This window comes from Homo sapiens, chromosome 4 (genome assembly GCF_000001405.40).
Source record: "Homo sapiens chromosome 4, GRCh38.p14 Primary Assembly".
NCBI lineage: Eukaryota > Metazoa > Chordata > Mammalia > Primates > Hominidae > Homo > Homo sapiens.
The window spans coordinates 183,333,508-183,355,801 of NC_000004.12; the positions used below are offsets into that span (position 1 = coordinate 183,333,508).

At 46.9% G+C, this 22,294-nt stretch overlaps 2 annotated features.

The window, feature by feature from the left end:
• Positions 1,204-1,373: an enhancer, noted in NCBI's record as "experimental_76759 CRE fragment used in MPRA reporter constructs". NCBI's record gives its function as "activates a minimal promoter by MPRAs in K562 erythroleukemia cells, with activity observed for the introgressed 4:184255949 variant allele {active_cell/tissue: K562}" and the evidence as "EXISTENCE:reporter gene assay evidence [ECO:0000049][PMID:34662402]".
• Positions 14,801-16,000: an enhancer, noted in NCBI's record as "BRD4-independent group 4 enhancer chr4:184269461-184270660 (GRCh37/hg19 assembly coordinates)". NCBI's record gives its function as "activates an origin of replication core promoter dependent on BRD2, P300/CBP, MED14 and CDK7 cofactors, and independent of BRD4, by STARR-seq in HCT116 cells {active_cell/tissue: HCT116}" and the evidence as "EXISTENCE:reporter gene assay evidence [ECO:0000049][PMID:35650434]".

Below are 22,294 nucleotides of genomic sequence, written 5' to 3' on the forward strand. Positions count from 1 at the left end.
GGGCTGGGCTCAGGGCTTCTCTTTCTTTTTTGGGCCATCAACCCCTTGTGCAACTCTGTGAGGTTTATGAGTCTCTTTTCAGAGTCATGTTTTTAAATGCATAAATTAAATACACAGGATGACAAAGGCAACCAATGACATTGAAATACAGTAATCACAACATTAAAAAAATAGTAATAGATGTCATCTATTAACACATTAAATAACAAGATCTAGCAAAGGGGCTCCAAGTACCATGGTGTCTCAGTGGTGAAATGTGTAAATATTTCAAGGTATTGTCAACAACTGCCATGTAATATGAAAATATCTGTAGTTTCCACTGGTGTCAAAATACCGGTGCTCCTAGACCACATGGTTTATTGCCCACATTCCTAATTAAAGAAAATGCTAAATTTCAGTTTGAAGTTAGTAGAAAATGTAATTCCTCCTCCCCACCATTTCCTATTCCCAAGAAGTCCTTTCTTCGCATTCACGGACTCCAGCCTCACAAACCCCTGGTCCTAACTCAGTCAGCTCCTCCTGCCACAGCTCCTCAGTCACTCTGGATTCCATGACCTCAACAATCCCAAATGCGATCATTGACACATTTGTGTCACTGTCCTTCTCGCCTGTGGGCAGGAATTGCGTCTGTCCTTTCACTTCTGTGAATCCAGAGCCCATCAGAGCAAGTCTGCACACATTAGATACTCAGGAAATGTTAAATGAATGAATGAGTCATGTCACACCAAGGATTGTGGACTTTGGACAGGGATTTGGGGGTAGAGATTGGAGTGGCATGATGAGATTTACTATGAATTTCAGAGCGTGACAAAATCAAATCTCTGAGGTGTCCCGTTTCTACCGCATCTATTGTGGCTCAGGTGAGGCAACTGCAAGACAAACAGGAAAAGATAAATAAATCTTTATAATAAGGAAAAGATAAATAGATTTTATTTCACTTGTGGGATTCATGCAACTCCTACCTGAATCTTTAATAACAATGGAAAAAACCATGATCCTGTGGCAAAGAAAAGAAAAAACACCTTCTTGGCCAATTTTAAGACCTGCTGTGGAAAAACAAAAGTGCTTTAAGAAATAAACATAGAAGTAAATCTTTAACAACCAGAGAGTTAATTTAATGCCATGCAGATATTACAAAATATGAGATACAGCTTTAATGTGTCATTAGTTTTGAAACTCAAAAAAAACAAACAAGAATGGACTTTGAATGATAAGAATATGTGTTAGTGTTTCTCGAACTTGAAGAATTTACAGAGAAATAGTTTTTAGGCTTTCATAATATGCTCATGAACCCCAGTTTGAGAAAACACTGACTTAAGAAACTTAAAGTCTTTTTATGAAAATATTAAATATAAATTACCATTGTAAGTTTTCTCATTATATTCTTAGAATTGCTAATTTAAAAAAAACTAAAATAAAAATATAAAATTAAAATCTTGCAGCTATCCAGGCATCTATGATTCCCAGAATGAAGAACTTTGTATTTTAGAAAATTATAATTACAGTAAATAGAATATCTAGTTGCCTGAGAAATAGGTAGTTGCCATTTTCTTTGATGTTGTGATATACTGACAAAACTTATATTTTAATTGTAAGTGGCTGCAACTTAAGGGAAAAAGAAAATAGTAGAATCAAGAGATTCTACTTTTACTATTAATTTATAATTTCTATCTCACCTAACCTATTCCTCTAAATAATCTGAAATTGGCTAAAACAATTATAAATTCTGCAAAACAACATTGTTGCAAGAATTTTTAGTTTATTGATTTACCTCTTCTCCACAGAGTATGTGCAACTTTAAAATTTTGAAAATTAAAAGTGATTTTTGCAACCATCTTTGATATCAAAGGCATGATAAGTAAACTCTTGCTTAAGTGAAGACTAATATGCATCTTGTCTAAATTATTAAATAGAAAGATATTGTCAATGTATGTGTCATCATTGTAAAAAGTTAAGTGGTTATGGACGGGAAAATCACATCTGTTCTTACCAGTTCATTCTTGGTACTATGACTCATGGCTGATTATATGTCTGCTGTCCCTGCTTCCTGTTGGAGGAAGTTCTTGAAGGAAATGACCATATTCTCTTCCTTTCTGGAAAGTTCTTTCCATTCCTGACATAGTTGGCTTTTCTGAGACCATTTTGCAGTGACCACTGCCAAAACAAGGCTTTGACAGTGCAGCTTCCCACTGCCTGGCAGTGCCCACACCTCTTCCTCTCTTCTGCTGCTAACTAAATACTTGACAGCTTTGGCCTGGGCCACCCACTGTCTTACCCTTCTTGCTCTTAGACTTAGCTTTCAGCACAGTTCCCAGCTCAGCTCACTTTTTGTTCGTTTTTTGCATTTCCTGCGATTGTCTCAGGTTAGAATTTCTGCACCCACCCCTAACCCAAGAAACCCCACCTTTGGCTCCCCATGTGTCCAGAATCTAGGAACTGCTCATCACTGTGTGTGAATTAAACTGAATGAAGCGTGGTGATGAGAGGACTCGGGGACCTAAAATGCATTGTGATACATGAATATTTTGTAAGGGCTTTTTAGACCGACATAGTAAAAAAGAAAATTTGCTTCCTCACAACAAAGTTTTGATTTATCGTTTTTGTTTATTTTTAATTTTCTAGCCTCATTCCATAAGGGGATGCTGAGGTTGCTGGAAAAAACTAGAGCCTGACGTATGTTAGGAAGAAATTATTTTAATTTTACTAAAGCCAAAAGATAACCATAGAGCTGGTTGCCTGCCAGGTCCCAGAGCACCTCCCTTCTCCCCCACTTGGGAGTCAGTCTCAGCCATCTCCACGGTGTGGTTCTGGAGTAAAGAGAGCCGGATGGCTCATGTGTCTCAGAGATTTCACAAAGATCTGGTTCAACTCAGGATTGTGACAAACCATAGGCCCTGGTGGCCACTGTAAATATAAGGGTTAATTAATTCACCCTTTCATCCTGTGACATATTCATCCATTCTCTCAACAAACCGAGCCATGCCCTGGGTACTGTACTAAGGCAGATACCGAGATGGGTCAAATGTGGTTCCAGCCACCATGATCCAGTATGACAGGCGTGAAGAAGAGGAAGGGCAGGGTGCTATGGGAGCCCAGAAGGCAGCTCCTAACCCAGAAGGGGAGGTCAGGAGTGAGCTTCCTGCAAAAGCTGATGTTTAAATTAGAGGATTTAACAAGAAGAATGAGATGGAGGAGGCACCCAGTCAGAGGAACAGCAGGTCTGAAGGCTGGGAGGCGAGAACCCCACAGAGAAACAGCAGGTCTGAAGGCTGGGAGGCGAGAACCCCACAGAGAAACAGCAGGTCTGAAGGCTGGGAGGCGAGAACCCCACAGAGAAACAGCAGGTCTGAAGGCTGGGAGGCGAGAACCCCACAGAGAAACAGCAGGTCTGAAGGCTGGGAGGCGAGAACCCCACAGAGAAACAGCAGGTCTGAAGGCTGGGAGGCGAGAACCCCACAGAGAAACAGCAGGTCTGAAGGCTGGGAGGCGAGAACCCCACAGAGAAACAGCAGGTCTGAAGGCTGGGAGGCGAGAACCCCACAGAGAAACAGCAGGTCTGAAGGCTGGGAGGCGAGAACCCCACAGAGAAACAGCAGGTCTGAAGGCTGGGAGGCGAGAACCCCACAGAGAAACAGCAGGTCTGAAGGCTGGGAGGCGAGAACCCCACAGAGAAACAGCAGGTCTGAAGGCTGGGAGGCGAGAACCCCACAGAGAAACAGCAGGTCTGAAGGCTGGGAGGCGAGAACCCCACAGAGAAACAGCAGGTCTGAAGGCTGGGAGGCGAGAACCCCACAGAGAAACAGCAGGTCTGAAGGCTGGGAGGCGAGAACCCCACAGAGAAACAGCAGGTCTGAAGGCTGGGAGGCGAGAACCCCACAGAGAAACAGCAGGTCTGAAGGCTGGGAGGTGAGAACCCCCAACAGTGGATCTACAGCTCTCCAGACAGGATCATCTTCTGCTGACCCTGAGAATCTCCGCCATCAAAAACGTTCATGGAACTGAGGCCACTTCCTGTCTGGGGGCACCCAGCTGGGAACCCTGTGGCTTAAAACCTCCCTCCGCACAGACCTCCTGGGACTCAGGCAGCTCGCCTGTGTCTGGGCGAGAGGTCATTGCTGTAGGGGAGATGTTGCTGGAGGCAGTACGAGGGGCTTAGCCTCAGCGCACATCCTGAGTGGGAGAAGGAGGGGCAGAGCCAAGCTCCCAGTCCCTGCGTAGCTTCCCAGAGTACCCCCATAAGACAAACAAAGCCCCATTCTAACCCACTCTTCCATGTAATCCAAGCTGGGCCTACCACCCTCAACCTCCTTCCAGAAGGTAAGGAGGATCTTACTGTTTGTACCCCCAGACTAATAGAAACAATTCTTGCAGTGTCCCCCCAGGGACCAAATATGTGGAGTCCACATTCACAGAGCATCTGGGGTGTCCCACACACGTGAGGCCCAGGGCTCCCTGCAGTGAGTCTCGTGGTGTTGGGAAACCGCAGCCGGGCACTGGCTGGCTTGCCTCTTAGTTGACCCTTTATTCTCCTCCGGGTGTGGCTGGCTGCATGATTTCGGGCTGGGATCCCGACACAGACCTGTGGACATCTGGGCCCATGCCAAGTTGGTGTATTTCAAACCCCCAGCAATGACAGAAATGACAGAAATGTCACTTAAAACAATCTCCTGTCTATTAAGGTAGCACAATTTTTTTTTTTTTTAAAGAATAAAGCACAATACTGGCAGGACTTTCAGGAAATAAGCATGCCCATATGTGATGGCTTCTTATGGTGTTCCTTTCTTTCTTTCTTTCTTGAGAAAGATCAGACAATAATGTAACAAGAGCTATGGAACTGTTTGGCCCAATAATCCCACTTTTGGGAATACACTACAAGAAAATAATTTCAAAGAAAAAAGCTAATATGTACAAATAAATACACAGCAGCTGCAACTGCACACGGTATAAAACTGGAAACAAACCAGACAAACAATAGAGGAAAGAGCTAAACAAATTATGGAGTGCCATGAAATACTTTATGGCCATTGAAAATGACAAGGACAGGGCCAAGTGCGGTGGCTCACCCTGTAATCCCAGCACTTTGGGAGGCCGAGGTGGGTGGATCACCTGAGGTCAGGAGCAGAGATATGGTGAAACCCCCTCTCTACTAAAAATACAGAAATTAGCCGGGCATGGTGGCGGGCGCCTGAAATCCCAGCTACTCGAGAGGCTGAGGCAGGAGAATTGCTTGAACCCAGGAAGTGGAGGTTGCAGTTAGCTTAGATCACACCATTGCACTCCAGCCTGGACAACAAGAGCAAAACTCTGTCTCAAAAAAAAAAAAAAAAAAAAAAAAAAGTAAAGAAAATGACAAGGAAAGGACCATTTTGACGCATTAACGTTGGAATATTTAAGCAATGATACAATGTAAAGCAGCACACGCATGCTGCATGGAACTATATTTTTGTAAATGCTTAAGTGTTCTACAAACATAACAAGATAGCCTAAAAGGAAATAAGTTGAATTTAAATGTTCACTAGGTCCTTTCTTTGCGTTGCTCAAGTTCATCATTTACAAAGCACAGTTTTCCTTTTTTTTTTGAGACGGAGTCTCGCTCTGTCGCCCAGGCTGGAGTGCAGTGGCGCGATCTCAGCTCACTGCAAGCTCCGCCTCCCGGGTTCTCGCCATTCTCCTGCCTCAGCCTCCCGAGTAGCTGGGACTACAGGCACCCGCCACCGCGCCCAGCTAATTTTTTTTGTATTTTTAGTAGAGACGGGGTTTCACCGTGGTGTCGATCTCCTGACCTCGTGATCCGCCCGCCTCGGCCTCCCAAAGTGCTGGGATTACAGACGTGAGCCACCGCGCCCGGCCACAAAGCACAGTTTTCAAAAGCAGATGTCTCTTTAGAAGGACAACAACCCAAAGGATGGGATCCCTGGGACATGGCCGGGGATGCGCTGTCAGAGCATTCGTTTGCCAGGTCACTTTGTCTCTGACTTGCACGTCATATTTGCACACCTCCCTCAGCCAGAATGCATGCTCCTCTGTTCTCCAAGCACAGCAGTCCAGATGAATGCAAAGGAAGTGGCTTTTCTCATCTCCGCTGCACGTAGTGCCGGGCAGGAATTGACAACAGGGGAGCAGGAAATTTTCCATTTGAATTAGAAGGCTAAGATGTCCCCTACCTTCTCTGGGACAATTGGTCCGTCTGGGCTGGCATTTGCTGTGTGGAATGGAAAGGAGTTATGCTGGAGGAAGTGAATGAGCAACAACCTCATATCAGGGATATTTAAGGTCTGACAGCTGAGAAGCTCATCAGCAACAATCCTGGTGCAAATTGGGAGCTTCTGGAAACAGGGACCACCAATTCTCCTCTCCCAATTTTATTATGATTAGGTCCCAATCAAAAGATTATTTGGGCCGGGCACCGGGGCTCACGCCTATAATCCCAGCACTTTAGGAGGCCGAGGCAGGTGGATCACCTGAGGTCAGCAGTTCAAGACCAGCCTGGCCAACATGGTGAAACCCTGTCTCTACTAAAAATACAAAAATTAGCTGGGCGTGGTGGCACACACCCGTAATCCCAGCTACTGGAAGGCTGAGGCAGGAGAATCGCTTGAACTCAGGAGGCAGAGGTTGCAGTGAGCTGAGATCGCACTACTGCACTCCAGCCTGGGTGACAGAGCAAGACTCTGTCTCAAAAAAAAAAAAAAAAAAAAAAGGAGAGAAAGAAAGACTATTTGGGAACAGCTTTATTGAGCTCTAATTCACATATCATACAATTCATCCATTTGAAGTGTTCGATTCCATGGCTTTTAGCATATCCCAGAGCTGTGCAATCATCACCACAACCAATTTTAAAACATCTCCGTCACCCCTCAAAGAAACCCAGACCCTTCAGCCCTCACTCCCTCATCCTCCTCCCATTACCCCCACATCTAGGCTACCATGAATCCACTTTCTGTTTCTATAGATTTTCCTGTTCTGGACATTGCATATAAATGGAATGGTACAATATGTGGTCTTTGTACTTCTTTCACTTAGCGTAATGTCTTCAAAGTTCATCCAGGTTGCAGCCTGTAACACTACTCCATTCCTCGTTATGGCAAAATAATATTGTGTTATACGAGGAGACCGCATTGTATTAATCCACTCATCAGTTGCTGATCATTTGGATTGTGTCCACTTTTTGGCTATTATTAAGAATGCTGCTATGAACCTTTATGTACAAGTTTGTGGGTGGACGTATGTTTTCATTTCTCTTGGGTGTATGTCTAAGGGTGGAAGTTCTGGGTCATATCGGAGCTCTATGTTTAGCCTTTGGAGGAACCACTGAATTGTTTTCCAAAGTGACTGCACCACTTTGCATTCCCACCAGAGTGTATGCGGTTCCCATTTCTCCCATCCTCACTAATACTTGTTATTATCTGTCTTCTTTATTCTAGCGGTCCTCGTCACTGTGCAGTCTCACGGCAGTTTTGATTTGCATTTCCCTGAGGATGCATGATGTTGAGGACTTTTTCATATGCCTGTTGGCCATTTGTGCATCTTCTCTGGGGAAATATCTATTCAGATCCTTTGCCCATTTTTAAATTCGGTTGTCTTTTTATTATTGAGTTGGAATAATTATTTATACATATTTTAAATGCAACCTCTGTATCAGAGATGTGATTTGCAAACATTTTCTACCAGTTAGTTTCTTTTCACTGTTTTCATGGTGTCCTTTGAAGCACAAAAATTTTGGTTTTGATGATGTCCAACTTGTCTATTTTTTCTTTGATTGATTATACGCCAAAGACTCTTGCCAGGCTTGGCCCTATGGAAACATTCTGTGCGGGGTTTTGGAGGAAATTTAATTTAATATAAAATGTAATTTAACTTAAAACTCCTATATTGCTATCATATTATAAATCCAGTTCGGGATTTAGAAATGTATAAACTCTGTAAATATGCCACTTACAACTCATTAGACTTTTAACTTACAATGCTCCAATTCTTGGAGAGGAACATTTTGAATAATGGAGAATACTTCTTTTCCCCACAGCAGCCGGGGGCCTGACCCTCCATTATCACTTCTCTTAATAACTTCCCAGAGCCTCCACCAGTATCAAAAGATGTCCCAAGTACCTCTCAGAATTTAATATACATATACATTTCTTCCCACAATTTCCACTTCTAGAAATTGATTCTGAAGACATTCTTACAAAGATCACTATTCAAGGATGTTCACCGCAGAATTACTTTGTAAAAGGGAAAACATAAGCCTCATCTAAACCTCCATCCATAGAGGACTGAAGAAATTAAAATTGTAGTATGGAAGTCTCTGGAACAGTTTTAAAAGGTGATGGATCTTTAAGTGTTGGCTTCAATGAATATTCACAATATATTGTTTACTTAAAAAAATAGAGGTAAGGTATGGAAAATATACACTATATATAGTTTTTTTTTTGTAAAAAAACTAACTTGTTGGGCATTCACAGCTTTTTTTTTTTTTTTTTTTGAGATAGTCTCACTCTGTTGCCCAGTGCAGTGGCACAATGGGCTCACTGAAACCTCCGCCTCCCGGGTTCAAGTGATTCTCCTGCCTCAGCCTCCCAAGTAGCTGCGATTACAGGCATCCGCCACCACACCCGTATAATTTTTGTATTTTTCGGAGAGACACGGTTTCACCATGTTGGCCAGGCTGGCCTCGAACTCATGACCTCAAGTGATCTGCCCGCCTCAGCTTCCCAAAGTGCTGGGATTACAGGCATGAGCCACCGCGCCCGACCCGCATGTCGGTATTAATAGCAGATAACCAAAGTGTGCCAAGGAAATATGGCTTTGTCTCTATTTTCATAATTGACCCAGTCTTCTTCAGGGCCCCCCAAGGAACAGAACTTACATTATCTGGGTAACAGCTTTTCACTTTGCTCCAGTTTGAACAGTCTCTCTCAGTTTAAACCGGTCTCTATCCAGTAAGTACTCAGTCAATTCCAGCTTCAAGTCCCCAGGAGGGGTGTTCCTCCGCTCCCTTCCTCCTGCTGGGAGCAGGGGCGAGCTCCTGGTCCTCTGGACTCTGTGGGCCCCAGGCCAGGGTGGGTCCCTGTCCCCCTCCCGCGGCAGGGCAGGCGGTTCTGTCCCTGGGCGCGCTGCTGCTCTACCCTGAGGGAGATCAGCCGCTCCTGTCCCCAGGACCCCTTGGCCTCTGCACCTGGCACCTGGGTGTGGGGCTTCATGGCTGTTTTCTTGAGATGCTCAGGGCCTGGAAGTCCCCCTTGCCTCACAGGCCCCCTTCGCCTCTCACTGGTGCTGCCGCTGCACCGCCAGGTCTGGCTGCACCCGGAGGACGGAGAACCCCACGCGGCCCGGCCCCGGGGCCCACCCTGCTCTCGTGGCTACGCCCCGCTTCTCCCACGGCCACCACCCTCTTCCCCCGCCCCCCTCCCTGGTGGTGGCCTCGCACGTGGCTTTTATTCCTCTCTTCCTCCCCTGGGAGGGGCCGCGCGCAACCCTCACCCAGGCCCTGGGCTCCCTCCCTCCCTCCTGCAGGGCCGGCAGCGCAGCTGTGCTGCTTCCAGCCTTGTTTGTTTTAAGCTCTTGGCGCCCCTGGAGGGGTCCGTGCCAGTCGGCCCTGGTCCTGACTCTACCTAGCAGGGGACTTCTGCTTTGCGGGACACGGCTGACTACAGCCCCCTGACCCCCAGCCCACGTGTCCTGACGGCCCCCTCCTCTCTCCCCTCCACACTCTCCCCACCACTGGAGCCACCCAGTCACCCCTCCAGCGTCTTGAGGATGGAGACATCTCCGGGCCATTGTTCCTCCTTGAATCACTAACGCGGTAGCATTTCTACACGGAATGCCACTTTCTCTGGCCCCAGCCCGTTGTTCACAGATTTGGGGCCACAGCTGACCACAGTCAAATAGAACCTTCTCCAGCAGAGGTTTGGGAGTGTGGCTGCTTTCTCAGCCCTTCAAGGTTACATAACAGGCACAAACCCATTTTCTTTTTTTCTTTTTTTTTCTTTTTGAGGCAGAGTCTCCCTCTGTTGCCCAGGCTGGAGTGCAGTGGCACGATCTCAGGTCACTGCAACCTTCACCTCCCAGGTTCAAGCAATTCTCCTGTCAGCCTCCTGAGTAGCTGGGATTACAGGTGTGCACCACCACACCTGGCTATTTTTTTTTTTTTTTTGTATTTTTAGTAGAAACAGGATTTCGCCATGTTGGCCAGGCTGGTCTTGAACTCCTGACCTCAGGTGACCCACCCACCTCAGCCTCCCAAAGTGCTGGGTTTTACAGGCGTGAGCCACTGCGCCTGGCCACAAACCCCATTTTCTATGTGAGAAATCAGACCCAGCTTCATTCTGTCCCCTCCTCCAGTTCTCCCACTGTGTCTGTGCCTCTCTCCAGGCAACATGTGGTTCCCCGGCCATGCTGAGTCCTGTGCTGCGCATTGGCAGGTGGACCAGACCGTGAGGGCAAGGTCTGGGACACAGCCTGTGAGTCCCCAGCCTCGGGCAGGGGCTGGCTGGGGAGGAGGAGGAATAGACCCATTTCGCTAGAGTGTATCCTCTGCAGAATTTGCATTTGTGAAGTGAGCATTTTATATTTTTATTTTTTTAAAACAGTTTTCACCTTAAATCACTATTCACTTTGCCCTCTTTCCACACACGTTGTTTGTTTTGCCAATCCCCAGGGTCCACTACACTGAAAAGTCCTTCAGCATCTGCAGTTGAGACAGGATGCCAAGCATAATACTTTTTTTTTTTTTAGTTTGAGACAGTCTCACTCTGTCACCCAGGCTGGAGTGCAGTGACACAATCACAGCTCACTGCAGCCTCTCCTGGAAGCCCTCAAACTTCGGGCTCAAGCCATTCTCCCGCCTCAGCCTCCCAAGCAGCTGGGACTACAGGTATGCACCACCACGCCTAGCTAATGTTTTCTTTTTTTTTTCTTTTCTTTTCTTTTTTTTTTTTTTTTTTTTTGAGATGGAGTCTTGCTATGTTGCCCAGGCTGGTCTCAAACTCCTCACCTCAGACGATCCTCCTGAGTAGGCCTTGCAAAGTGCGGGATTACAGGTGGGAGCCACTGCACCAGACCACGCCATGTGCAATACTGAAATAACATCAGTCATGGCCATCGCAGAACTCATGCAGAGTACACACAACACGTGCGGGGACATGTGTGTTACCCGCCCAGGGCCCATCGCCCCTTGAGGCCTCCCTGAAAGATCTCCATCCCCACCCCAACCTCATTGTGATCCACACTCCCTGAATATGTGTCCCCGGGGAGGCCAACTAACCTCACCCCAGTCAGGCTGGGCCCATCTAGCCTGAGAGAAGCCTACTCCCCGCCTCCTGGTGATGGGTTCCAGAATGGACTGGGACCCAGTTCTGTCCAACAGGAAATGAGAACGCCCAGGGCTTCAAGGAAATGTCTCATCAGGTCTAGAAGGATCCCTGAGAAGAGATGGCCCCTTTCTTGGCCTGGATGTGATACACAGAACTGCCCCAGCCATCCTGCTTCCAAGGAGGAGGTCAGCCCTGGTGACGGCAGAGTGGAGAGGTGGAGAGAAGTGGGTTCCTGACGAAACTGCACCCCATGGAGCCAGCCACCCCGAAGGCTGCCCGGCCTCCTGGCCTCCTGCTCTGGGAACGTAGATTTGCTGATTTCACAAGCCCCCTTGCATCAGCATTTCCAGTACAGGCAGTTCAAAATGTCCTCCTTGATATTCATGGGCAGGGCCCACTTTCTTGGAATTTACTTCCAGCAATAATGATATGCAAGTGAAGTTTTATGCATTAAGAAATTTCTTAATGACTTTTACAATTTTTTTACAGGTTAGGAAGTGAGCATTTCAAACCATCTGGATTCACACCTGAGACCTGAGAGAAAAACTGTAATATGTGTTTGATTCACTGGGGACACAGAGGGTGGGAGTGCCAGGTCCTGCTGTCACCTCCAGGGCAGAGGCCATTGTGTCTCAGCATGTCTGTCCCTCGTGCAGGACCCAGTGTCACCGCACACAGCTGTGCAGCTCTGATTTCAGTCTCTCTGAGCCTCCGCTCACAGTAAATGGCGACAGATCTCTTGGGGGGTTGTTGTGGGATTAGATGAAAGAAGGCATGGAAGGCTCTGTCACACATAAGGTGTTAAACAGTGGTAGTCTATTGTGTGTTAGCTGGGTAGCTAATGCCACATTTGGTTTAATTCATGCTGTAATTGATCCTCACTGTGAAAAAGAATTATCATGTGGACTCTAAGCAGCTCAGACATCATGAATCAACTGGGCTCAACAGAACGTCCCAACAGAATGGTGTGCAGAGGAGTTTGCAAACCAGCAGTCCACCCGTGGTGCTGGCCCTCAGACGTGCCTTGTTTGCTTTGTCCAGTTTTTTCTTTAATAATCGAGCCAACATTTAAAATTGTGGAGAATTCACATTAAAACAAATAAAACAACAGCAACAACAAAAGCCAGATGAGCAGATTTCTGGCTCCTGTGAAGATTCCGAGGTGTTATGATAGCAGGGGCCACCTGCCTGGTGGCTGCCACCCATAGCAGGGGAGGAGTCCAGTCCCGCTGCCTGCTGCTGCTGTGTGGAAACTCCTTCCCACAGTGCCCGCCACTGCACCTTGACTGACATCAAACCCTTAAACTGCATCTACTGAGCCCTTTATTTCAACTAGATGCGTTCACACTTCATAGTTCTATTTAGTTCTTTTTTTTTTTTTTGAGACAGAGTCTTGCTCTGTCGCCCGGGCTGGAGTGCAGTGGCGCGATCTCGGCTCACTGCAACCTCTGCCTCCCATGTTCACGCCATTCTCCTGCCTCAGCCTCCCACGTAGCTGGGACTACAGGTGCCCACCACCATGCCCAGCTAATTTTTTGTATTTTTAGTAGAGATGGGTTTTCACCATGTTAGCCAGGATGGTCTCGATCTCCTGACCTTGTGATCCCCTCCCCACCCCAGCCTCCCAAAGTGCTGGGATTACAGGCATGAGCCACCACGCCCGGCCCTTAGTTCTTTAAAAATAATGGCTTAAAGCTGGGTGTGATGGTGGACACCTGTAATCCCAGCTACTCCGAGGCTGAGGTAGGAGAACCACTTGAACCCAGTAGGTAAAGGTTGCAGTGAGCCGAGGTAGCGCCACTGCACTCCAGCCTAGGCAATGGAGTAAGACTCCATCTCAAAAATAAAATAAAGTAAATAATAATAAATAATGACTTATTGTTCCTGTTTTATATGATCAATATCTTCCTTTTCTATTAAAATAAATGATATATATACACACATACTTTTTTTTTTTTTTTTTTTTTTTGGGACAGAACCTTGCTCTGTCATCCAGGCTGGAGTGCAGTGGCACCATCTCGGCTAACTGCAAGCTCCGCCTCCCAGGTTCAAGCCCTTCTCCTGCCTCAGCCCCCCCGAGTAGCTGGGACTACAGGCACCCGCCACCACGCCTGGCTAATTTTTTTGTATTTTTAGTAGAGACGGGGTTTCACCATGTAAGCCAGGATAGTCTCGATCTCCTGACCTTGTGATCCGCCCACCTCGGCATCCCAAAGTGCTGGGATTACACGCATGAGCCACTGCGCCCAGCCCTAAATAATAAATATTTTAAAGTCCTAGTCAGCCTGTTCCAATAATTCTGCTTTAGATGGTATATGTTGTTCCACTTTTTGGCTTTTCTTTTATGATGATGTACCGCAGGGTGCCTAGTTACTTTGGTCTCTAAGCTCATGTTTCCCGGGGGCACTGGCCACTCTGTCAGGGAGTGCCCATTTGGGCTGAAGGCCAGATCCTAGTGGAGGTGCCTCTTGGGAAGCTAAGGAGCAGGGAGGGATGAGCTACAGGGCGGGGAGACACGGGGACCGTAGAGCTCCTGACTGACCACCCCTGTCTGCTGCTGTGATGGTTAATTTTATACGTCAACTTGGCTGTGCTGAGGGATACCCAGACAGCTGGTGAAACATTATTTCTGGGCGTGTCTGTGAGGGTGTCTCCAGCAGAGACTGGCATTTGCCTCGGTGGACTGAGTAAAGAAGACCTCCCTCTCCAATGTGGATGAGCATCATGCCATCTCCTGAGGGCCCGAATAGAATACAAAAGCAGAAGAAGGCTGAATTCTCCCTTTCTCTCTCTTTCCCCTTGAACTGAGACATCCATCTTCTTCTGTCCTTGGACATCAGAGCTCCCGGTTCTAGGGCCTTTGGACTCTGGGGCTTGTATTAGAGCCCTTCCTCCAACCCCAGCCCCCAGGCCCCAGGGGTTGGGGTTCTCAGGGCTTCAGCCTCAGACTGAATTGCATCACCAGCATTCCTGGATCTTGAGCCGGCAGAGAGCAGATCATGGCACTTCTCAGCCTCCTTCTCATAACCCATGAGCCAAACAGTAGATCGCCTCTTCTCTATGCACAGAGAGCCTGGGGTTCTGTTTCTCCAGAGGACCCTAATACAGCTGCCATTCCACCAGACAGCGCCTTTCCTCTTGTCTAGCTTTTAGGCTCTTGGAAATAAGTGACAGGGAGGAGACAGTCTCCCCATGGAGCTGAAGAGGGTGCAGGAGTGGTACAACACCCAGCACAGTGGTGGAGCCCATCTGCTTTCCTCCACCTCCGTCCCTTTCCTCTCCTGACCCTGTCCTGCCCCAATATCGGTGTCCCAGACACTGGCCCCAATGGCCTGGACTGCTGCTGCAGATTTCTGTGGTGGATGGGGACAAGCAATAATTATTCCACAGCGCCTTGAGAAATGGGAAAAAACAGAACGTGCTATTTTTGTTAGTTCCTCTAATCCACACTTCTCTGCGGGGTCGGTCTGGAGGTAGAGGGCCAGAAACCTATGGGAGTCCACGGTCTTGCTGGACGCCTGCGCCCATTTTCTTATGGCAGGAAACCACCTCTTTGCACCAGAGGCGGACTTGGTGATGCTAATGTAAGTGCGCTCCAGGGCCCTGCACCCGCAGGAGTCCGTTCCAGATCCTGGGAGGGGCCTAGTAATTTGGTCACAAATTGGTCATGTTTTTCTTAAAATTTGCGAGTAGGATACTTTGCAATCAGTCAAGGCTACTCTCTCTTCCCTCCCTGTCTTTCCCCTCACCCTCCTTCCCCTCATGGGGGCCAGCGTTGGAGCATCTGCTTTTGGGGGATTTGACTCAGGAGAAATCGAATGGGGCTACATTTAATTGAGGTTAGGGGCAACGTCTCTGTGGTTGACAGTTATTCCCATGCATCAGGTTGCTGGTCACCCTCCCACTCCCTACCTTGCTGATGTGCCCGGCATCACAGCCTGCCTGACGACGCTGGCTGTGGCACAATGGCAAGGTGAATGTGGCCATGGGGGCTGGCCCCAGAACTCCAAAAGCAGTGTTGTCAGAGGCAATCGAACCACAGTGACTCCATCTTGAATAGGCAGTGGGTAAAATGAGGCTGAGACCTCCTGCATTCCCAGGAGGTTAGGCATTCTTAGTCACAGATGAGATAAGAGGTTGGCACAAGATATAGGTCACAAAGACCTTGCTGATGAAACAGCACGTGTTAAAGAAGCTGGTCAGAACCCACCAAACCAAGATGGTGACAACAGTGACCTCTGGTTGTCCTCACTGCCATTATATGCTGATTATAATGCATTGGCATGCTGACTCACATTTCCACCAGCGTCAGGACAGTTTAGAGATGCCGTGGCAACGTGAGGAAGTTGCCCTATATGGTCTAAGGGGGAGGGACCCTCAATTCCGGGAATAGCCCATCCTTTTCCCAGAAAATTCATGAATAATCAACCCCTTATCTGGCATATAATCAAGAAATAACTATAAGTGTAATCAGTGGGCAGCCAAGCCGCTGCCCTGTCCGTGGAGTAGCCATTCTTATTCCTTTACTTTCTTAATAAACTTGCTTTCACTTTACTCTGTGGATGCACCCAGAATTCTTTCTTGTGCGAAGTGCAAGAACCTTCTCTTGGGGTCTGGATCGGGACCCCTTTCTGGTTACAGAGTGACAGACACAAGGTTTGAAGTGTGCAGAACCAGATGCTGGCCTGTGGAAAATCTTCCAACCTCAGATACATAAAACTGTAAGCAGTAGATTCTGTTCTCATTAACACCTCGTCGAGATGGAAGGTCTCGCCCGTTTCATATATCCTTCAGAATGCATAGTACATCATAGTAAATGGAACATATTTCTTTTTTATGGAAATGGTGTGAAATAGAACTTACCAAAATTCCCGTGTTTGAGGGCACAAATCTCTAGCAGTACTTCAAATGGAAAGTACATCCGTGCGCGAAGTTGCATGCTTTATGCATCAGAAGTCTCGGATCGGGCCTTAGTGTAGCTGATGCATCTGTTGTCCAGATGAAGTCTGGCAGATCCAGATAGAACAGCATGCAAAATTATCCCAACACAGTGAAATAACCCAGAGAAACAAGTATTTCCAGGAACAAAACTACACATATTCATCAGTGAGTCAGTGTATTTCACCCAAGGATTTCCCGCCTGTGCGGCTCAGCACAAGCCTGAACAGTTTAAATGCACTTGAACGGCTCAGAGGAGGCCTGAATACTGCATTTCTTTTCTTTTCTTTTCTTTTCTTTTCTTTTCTTTTCTTTTCTTTTCTTTTCTTTTCTTTTCTTTTTTTTTTTTTTTTTGAGACGAAGTCTCGCTCTGTCACCCAGGCTGGAGTGCAATGGCATGATCTCAGTTCACTGCAACCTCCGCCTCCCGGGTTCAAGGGATTCTCCTGTCTCAGCCTCCTGAGTAGCTGGGATTACAGGTGCGCACCACCACACCCGGCTAATTTTATTTTTGTATTTTTAGTAGACAGGGGGTTTCACCACGTTGGTCAGGCTGGTCTTGAACTCCTGACCTCATGATCTGCCCGTCTCAGCCTCCCAAAGTACTGGGATTACAGGCGTGAGCCACCGCGCCCAGCCTGTGGCTGCCATTTCTAAACCACCCCTTCCTTGAGCACAGATCCTCTCCCCTCCAGCAATCCTCCCCCTTCTCTCAGGCATCCTCCACTCTCCGCTCTGTTCTGGCTCTCACCCATCAGCATGGGCTAAGGGTCCTCCCCGAAACAACACACCCTCTCTTGGCGCCACGTCTTGTTCCAGCCACTACCCTATCTTTCTCCCTCTCTTCACAGCAACTCCTAAAACAACTTTTCTGTATTTGCAATTCCCAATTTCTCTTCTCCATTTCCCTCAGGAACTTGTGCCCATCAGGCTTGTGTCCCATGGGTCCCCTGAAACGGGTCATTTCAGCCCTCTCCTTAGTTAACCCAGTGGCAGCACTCCAAGCCACTTTCTTCACTTACATTCCAGCCCAGAGCGTTTCTTAGGCAGCTGCATCTCAGTCTCTGTTCCGGAGTGAACGGTGTCGCCTCAGAAAGCTCTGTTAAAGTCCGTCATGCCACTTCCTCGGATGGTGACCTTATTTGGAAATAAGGTCATTGCAGATGGAATCAGTTACAATGAGCGCACGCTGGAGCACATGAGTGTGTCCTTATGGGAAGACAGCCCTGTGCAGACTCAGAGAGAAGACAAAGGGAGCTGGGGTCCCTCTCCTAAGAAGCTTAGCAATTCTCCATGCTGATTCCTATGGATTTGGAGGTGACACTTCCAGTATCACCACCGGGATGGATTTCCTATTTATCTCGCACGGTTCAGCAGGGTTTTGCATGCTTGTCGTTTCGACAAAGAAGACAGAAAGAGCAGAGATGGCCATTCAACCTCAGCCTGATGGGGGAGAGGTAACGCAGATGAGGAGGCAAGCCAGAGTATGAGAGACAAGAGGGAGGGGAGACTTGACGGTGTGTTTCAGTCATGGATCTAGTCCATTCTACAGGTAGCACCAGTCTGGCCCTGCCCAGTTATGTGTCAATTCATGTCCTTTGTTTTTCTTTTTGTAGAGACGAGGTCGGGCTATGTTGCCCGGGTGGGTCTCAAACTCCTGAGCTCAAGTGATTCTCCCGCCTCAGCCTCCCAAAGTGCTGGGATTACAGGCATCAGCTCCTACACCCAGCCATTGCCTGTTTTTTTTTTATTACAGTAATTCATGCTAAGTCTCTGTAACTTGCGCTTGAAAGAGCTCACTGCAACCTCTGCTTCCCGGATTCAAGCAATTCTCCTGCCTCAGCCTCCTGAGTAGCTGGGATTACAGGCATACGCCATCACACCTGGCTAATTTTTGTATTTTTAGTAGAGATGAGGTTTCACCATGTTGGTTAGGCTGGTCTTGAACTCGTGACCTCAAGTGATCTGCTCACTTGGGTTTTAGGAGAAGGGTAAAATATGGACAAGGAGGCCAGTCATAGGATTGTGAGTAAAAGCAGCGCTCCTGGGTAGCTGGGCAGATGGAAGCACACTGCCTGTCCCCTCCCGTCACCTCTGCTGTTTAGGGAGTTCTCCAGGGGTCAAAAGTCAGGGTGCCACAGAAATGTGGGAAGTACACAGAGAGGAAATGTGAGAAAGAAACTGAGATTCAGAAATTTAAAAGAGAAAACTCGTTGAACAGGTAAATTTGCGGAACTGAAATGCATTTCAGGACGTGCATTCCCAAAACAGCTACCTTTTTTTTAATGAAAAAGGGCTCTCTAGAGTGATAGGCACGTATCAATTTGCTGTTTCCAACCCTACCAGGTGACCAGAGGGCTGACAAGGATGGATAATGAATAAAGACAAGGCGTACTCATGTCCTAAATCTGCTGTAAGAAGTCTGCTGTGGGCCAGGCCCAGTGGCTCATGCCTGTAATCCCAGCACTTTGGGAGGCTGAGGCGGGTGGATCACATGAGGTCAAGAGTTCAAGACCAGCCTGGCCAACGTGGTGAAACCTCATCTCTACTAAAAATACAAAAATTATCCAGGTGTGGTTGTGTGTGCCTGTAATCCCAGCTACTCAGGAGGCTGAGGAAGAAGAATTGTTTGAACCCGGGAGGCAGAGGTTGCAGTGAGCCAAGATCGTGCCATTGCACTCCAGCCTGGTGACAGAGCAAACACTCCATCTCAAAAAAAAGAGAGATCTTCTGTGGCTTACAACAATGGGAATTTACTCTCTTACAGTTCTAGGGCCCAGGAGCCCCACATCGAAGTAGTGGTGGGGCTATGTTCCCTCTGCGGGCTCTGGGGCACTCCTTGCCTTGCCTCATCCAGCTTCTAGTGGCAGTTGTGTCACCCCAGTCTCTGCCTCTGACTTCATTCATGTGGCCTTCTTGAGTGTTCTGTCTTCTGCCTATGTCTTCCCATATTTGTATAAGGACACTTGTCACTGGGCTTGGGACTCGCCAGATAATCCAGGATGATCTCATCTCAAGATCTGTAACTTAATTACATTTGCAAAGACCCTTTTTCCAAATAAGGTCACATTCACAGTTCCAAGTGGACATATTTTGTAGGGGTCACCTTTCAACCTACAGCACAAGTACTTGCAGCCAGTGAGGTACATGGCATTTCTGCTCAGGCAGACGACGATTTCTAGCTTTTTTTCTCTTTCTATTTATACATGGTGGTGGAAAAATAAGCATTTAAAGACTGAAATAACTTCTAAATGCCTTCCTCTTCTAATGGGTATTGAAATAAGTGTATCCATTAAGAGACGGTTTTTGGCCCGATGCAGTGGCTCACACCTGTAATCCCAGCATTTTGGGAGGTCGAGGTGAGCAGATTGCTTGAGCCCAGGAGTTCCAGACCAGCCTGGGAAACATGGCAAAACCCTATCTCTACAAAAACTTTTTAAAAGTTAGCTGGGTGTGGTGGCACATACCTGTAGTCCCAGTTACTCAGGAGGCTGAGGCAGCAGAGTCACTTGAGCCCAGGAGGTCAAGGCTGCAGTAAGCCATGATTGTGCCACTGCACTCCAGCCTGGCTGACAGAGTGAGACCTCGTCAAACAGAAAAAAAAAAAAAGAGAGATGGGCTAGGAGCGGTGGCTCATGCCTGTAATCCCAGCGCTTTGGGAAGCCAAGGCAGGTGGATCACCTGAGGTCAGGAATTCAAGACCATTCTTGCCAACATGGTGAAACTCCGCCTCTACTAAAAATACAAAAATTAGCCAGGCGTGGTGGGTGCCTGTAATCCCAGATACTTGGGAGGCTGAGGCAGGAGAATTGCCTGAATCCGGGAGGCAGAGGTTGCAGTGAGCTGAGATCATGCCATCGCACTTCAGCCTGGGTGACAGAACAAGACTGTCTCAAAAACAAAACAAAACAAAACAAAAACATGGTTTTCAATAATTTTCACACAGCCACACATATAAAGCACACCTTGGGAGAGGAGGATCCCTGCTGGTGCGTGTGGACCACTGCAGGCTGCCATGTCGATAAAACAGATCACAGGAGATTGCAAGTTCCCGCCACAGCTCGATACCCCACCCTCTTTCCTATGGCTCAGACACTCCAGCTTTAGGAGCCCTCATGTTTGTTTCTGTTTCTTTAGTTCATGAGGTGCCCCAGCTTCCCCAGTTTCCAAAGCCACGCAGGTGTATGAAAATCTTCCCCCGATCTTCTTGCAGGTTATAGTTAGAATATTACCTCAGCAATCCCCAAGGTGGAAGAAATGAGAAGCAGAAACATTTCATTAGTCTAGAACGCCTACACGAAGACTATGTGCCTGCAGATATGTTGACAAGTTTTGAAGGAACGCCAAAGGGAGTAGAAGATCCGGTCTTGCTTAGAAGAAATTATTTAAGGAGTAGAATTTCTTTGAGACCACGAGTGAGCAGGTTAGGGCAGTGCCAGGAACCCTTAGGGACTCCCATCAACCCCAGCATCAGAACCTTCTTCCTAGGATGCAGAAGCATCAGAACCTTCTTCCTAGGATGCAGACATGAGTGTGAGGAGAAGTTTTCACTCTGCCGTGATCAAAGGCCAGGTGTATTTCAACCCCTGAAGGCATGGTGTTTCACAAGCCCTGACTGGCTCATGTAAGCAAATATAATTAAATCAGTTCTGTCAAAGCCAGCATGTGCTCTGTTTTCTTTGTTGTGATGGGACAGAAATCAAGGGCCAAAGATCCACAGAACTCAGTTAGATTGCTTACGGGCTCTGAAAGCACGAAACGTAAGTGCCGTTTCCCTCCATGTTATCAGGGGAGAGGCACGGGTCAAATTACGGCATATACAAATAGGCCACGTTCGAGGACCTTCATACTTATGTATTTATTTTTTTACGTCAGGTATCAGTCATTCAGCCTTTTTTTTCCTTTTTCCTTCTCACTCTCCCTTTCCTTTTTCTTTCCCCTCCCTCTTTTTTGGTGGCTGTTGTTTGCTTTTTTATATTACAAAAGTAATACAGCACCATCCTTTTTTACATGTAGAAAGTAGAAATAAAACAAAGAAAAGTCATCTGTAAACTTACCACAGAGGGAGACACTCTGAACATTCCTGGGTGTGTTTTTAAGCATACTGTACATGTGCATTTTTAAGCATAAAAAAGAAATTTCTTGAAATACACTTATTTGGATAAATAATTTAGAAGTATTAATAATTTATTTAATATTATTAGTTAATAGTAATGGCTAATTACTTAATGTTAATATTTTATTGATGATTTTATTCTGAAGCTTTTGCTACATACTATAAAATTGCTCTCCAGAAATGTTCTATCCCCTTTCACTCCCACTGGGAATGTAGAATACCTGCTTCCTCGCGTCAGCTCTCATCAACCTTGTTGGATAAATAAGTAGACCCAAAGATCTGGTGGTCTCAGGTTTTGTTACTAAAGGCAAAGCTGCTTATTGTAAACATAGGAGAAAAGAAATCTTTCTGAGTGGTGACTGGAGCTTTCTGGAGTGGAAAGGTATTGTAAATGAAAGAAAGACAGGTGCCACCTCTACTCCAGGGTTATCGAGAGCTTGTCTGAAATACTTTGTAATGAATGATTTAGGTCAATGAGAGGGCGATTCCAGTGAAGGAATTGTAGTATCGAGAAGGCAGGTGCGGGCAAGAGTAAGTGAATGGCCGTTATTGTCTGAGATTAAAGCAGCAAACCCTTCAAATAGAGAACGCATTGTGTGCAAGAGCTGATTAAGAACACGGCTGAAAGTGAACATCAGTGTACATGGGAGGGTTGTTCTAACTATAGAGTTTGTGATTTACTCCATGACATAGACCTTATCTTGAGTGAGTTATGATATTTTCTGGGTCTCAGCCATGAGCCCTCAATGAGCTGACCTTATTGTGGTAAAATAATCAGAGTTCAGGTTAGTCATCACCATCTATCTGGGCATGCCAAGGAAAAATAATAAATGGGCAACTGTGTAATGCTTAGATTTAATCTCATTAGGAGGCCTTCGTGGTAAAATTGTGGGAACTGAATTACAGTGAACTAACTCTGGAACCTATGCTG